Genomic DNA, 2,347 nt, shown 5'->3' on the forward strand with positions numbered 1-2,347 from the left:
AATGCTGATTGGGGCAAGTGCTAATTACTTAGGGTTTCAAACCACGTAATGAAGCACTGATAATGATCTACAAGTGCAAACTTAGACAACATATCATTATAGGTCAGATTAGAAGGTAAAATTTTGACATTTTTATATTTAAATGAAAGGTATGGAAGCACAGAATAATGATTTATTTGAACTAATATATGATTGAATGGATATGCTATCCCATAGGACATCAGGATGGATATCAATAACTGTAATGTCAAATGCTGGAGATTAGAGGCTGAAATAGTTGCCTTGACTACTCTTATATTTTAATATCAGTTTTTGAAATCTTTATTACTGACTAACATTCTTAACTTAATGCTACTTTTAACTGGATCCATGCTATATACTTCAATAAATGATTTAAAATATCAGATGCAAATGTCTGTCTGACAAATCACAAGCCCATATGCCACATTTTTTTTGGTAAGTGATGTTGGTAGTAGGAGCCTCATATATTTTTTAAAATATTCCTGTTCAAAATGTTCAATCATGCTAAAACATTAGGGATGAGTAACTTTTGTTTTGTATAGCATATATTGATTCAAGATATTTTTAGGGTAAGATATTTTTCTTAATCCTCCATTGAAACATGCTAGTTAACATAAGTCGCTCTACTCTGACATACACTTGTTCAAGGAGATGTCGTATTAAGGTCTGAGTGGTCATTCATTTATTTCATACACATTTGTTAAGCACCCACAACGTGGGACCCAAGGAAGAAGTTGTAGACAAGACTATTAAAAGTGAAAAGTACATACATAAAGATAAGTGTGAAATGACAGGAAAGCCCAGGGGGACTTTGGAGGATTTACAGGAAAACTCTAGAACAGGAGACATTTAAGTTGTATCTTGAACAACTTGACAAGCTGACAGATTGAAAAAAGACATTTCAGACAGGGTAATAACTTAATAACTTAATAACAGATACGGTTTGAATGCTTACCATCTGCCAAGCTGGATAAAAAATGCTCTTATTCCTCATCAATATAATTGCCATTATTATTCCCACACTACAGATTAAGAAAGTGAGTTTCTGAAGTATTTTGTAGTTAATAAAAAAATAGAGTTAGGATTCAAACTCAGCCAATCCAAACCCAGGCTCCATTCTCTTAACTACTATGCCACTTAGATGGGACAGAAAAGGTGGAGATGGAGAATGAATGAGCATGGGTGCTTTGGTAATGGAGCTGTAAACATCCCCAATGCCAACTTTCAAAACCAGAGGTTGTAATACCCAGTGCGCCCTATTCCAAATGTATAAATACCTTTTTCTTGTGAGCATATTTTTAAGTGACCAAGTAATTCAGAACTTAAGCTTATGAATGTGTTCTACTGACTTTAAAATATAGTACTCGAACAAGAAATTATGACCTTCAAATATTTCCAAAATTATCTTCTTCCTCTTTGTTTTGTTATAATTATAGACAAAGATAATCATAAATATGCCTCTGGTGGTCTTTTTACTACCTAAAATATATAGAACGATTTTTTTTGTAAAAGAAAGAAAGTTTGGAGTTCTCAGCACCTCTTTCTCAACTTCAAAAGCATATATTTAACTTATGTTTAATTATAACAAAATCTGCTTTTTTTTCCCCTAAGTGAATCTTTGGAAATGAGTCCTGAAAAACTAATAATGGTCCTGAGGCAGGACGATGCACCGAAAATAACATTCCAGCTGGTTTCAGTTTTGTTTGTTTTATAGGAATGTTCTGCTTTAGAAATGTCCGCTATGTAACCCTTAATTTGAATGTATATTTAGGGGAATAGTTGCTATTGTCACAGTAATTGACTACAAACTTTACTCACGAAGAGGTGTTACTAAGTCAAGCATGAAAACTGGGAAGGGCTGGAGGGGGTAAAAGTGAATGCAGAGCAGAAGTACAAGGGCAACTGATGACACTCACCTATTGTAAACTGGCTATTTTTTATTTTTGCTTCTAAGAAAAGATAGCAGCTATAGGTAGTGGTGTTGAAAAGAAAATTGAATTTAGCCCTCGTTGCCAGGATGATGACTGCTAGGGATCTGCTACAGTTATTTTTCTGTAACACCATGTGGCGAAAACTTGTTGTAGCCGTCCTGTGTTTAACATCTCTTCTCCAGTTTAAACCCCATCCAGACACTCTTAAAGGTTGTTTATTCCAGATCCTTTATAATCCATTCATTGTATGTTATTCTCTGTTTTTTTCCTTCCTTTATCTCATATTTCCTACATTATTACAGATGTTACGTTAGTGTCTGGCAGGCAGCCTCTGAAATGGCCCCTAATAATCCCTGTCTCGTTATTTTGATTTTTTTTTTTTTTTGAGATGGAGT

The 2,347-nt window shown here is 34.2% G+C and overlaps 1 annotated feature.

Moving 5' to 3' along the window:
- Nucleotides 1,566-2,347: an enhancer, noted in NCBI's record as "NANOG-H3K27ac-H3K4me1 hESC enhancer chr12:33823144-33823925 (GRCh37/hg19 assembly coordinates)". NCBI's record gives its function as "activates a minimal SCP1, AML or CMV promoter by ChIP-STARR-seq in naive H9 embryonic stem cells {active_cell/tissue: H9 hESC(naive)}" and the evidence as "EXISTENCE:reporter gene assay evidence [ECO:0000049][PMID:30033119]".

This window comes from Homo sapiens, chromosome 12 (genome assembly GCF_000001405.40).
Source record: "Homo sapiens chromosome 12, GRCh38.p14 Primary Assembly".
Taxonomy (NCBI): Eukaryota; Metazoa; Chordata; class Mammalia; order Primates; family Hominidae; genus Homo; species Homo sapiens.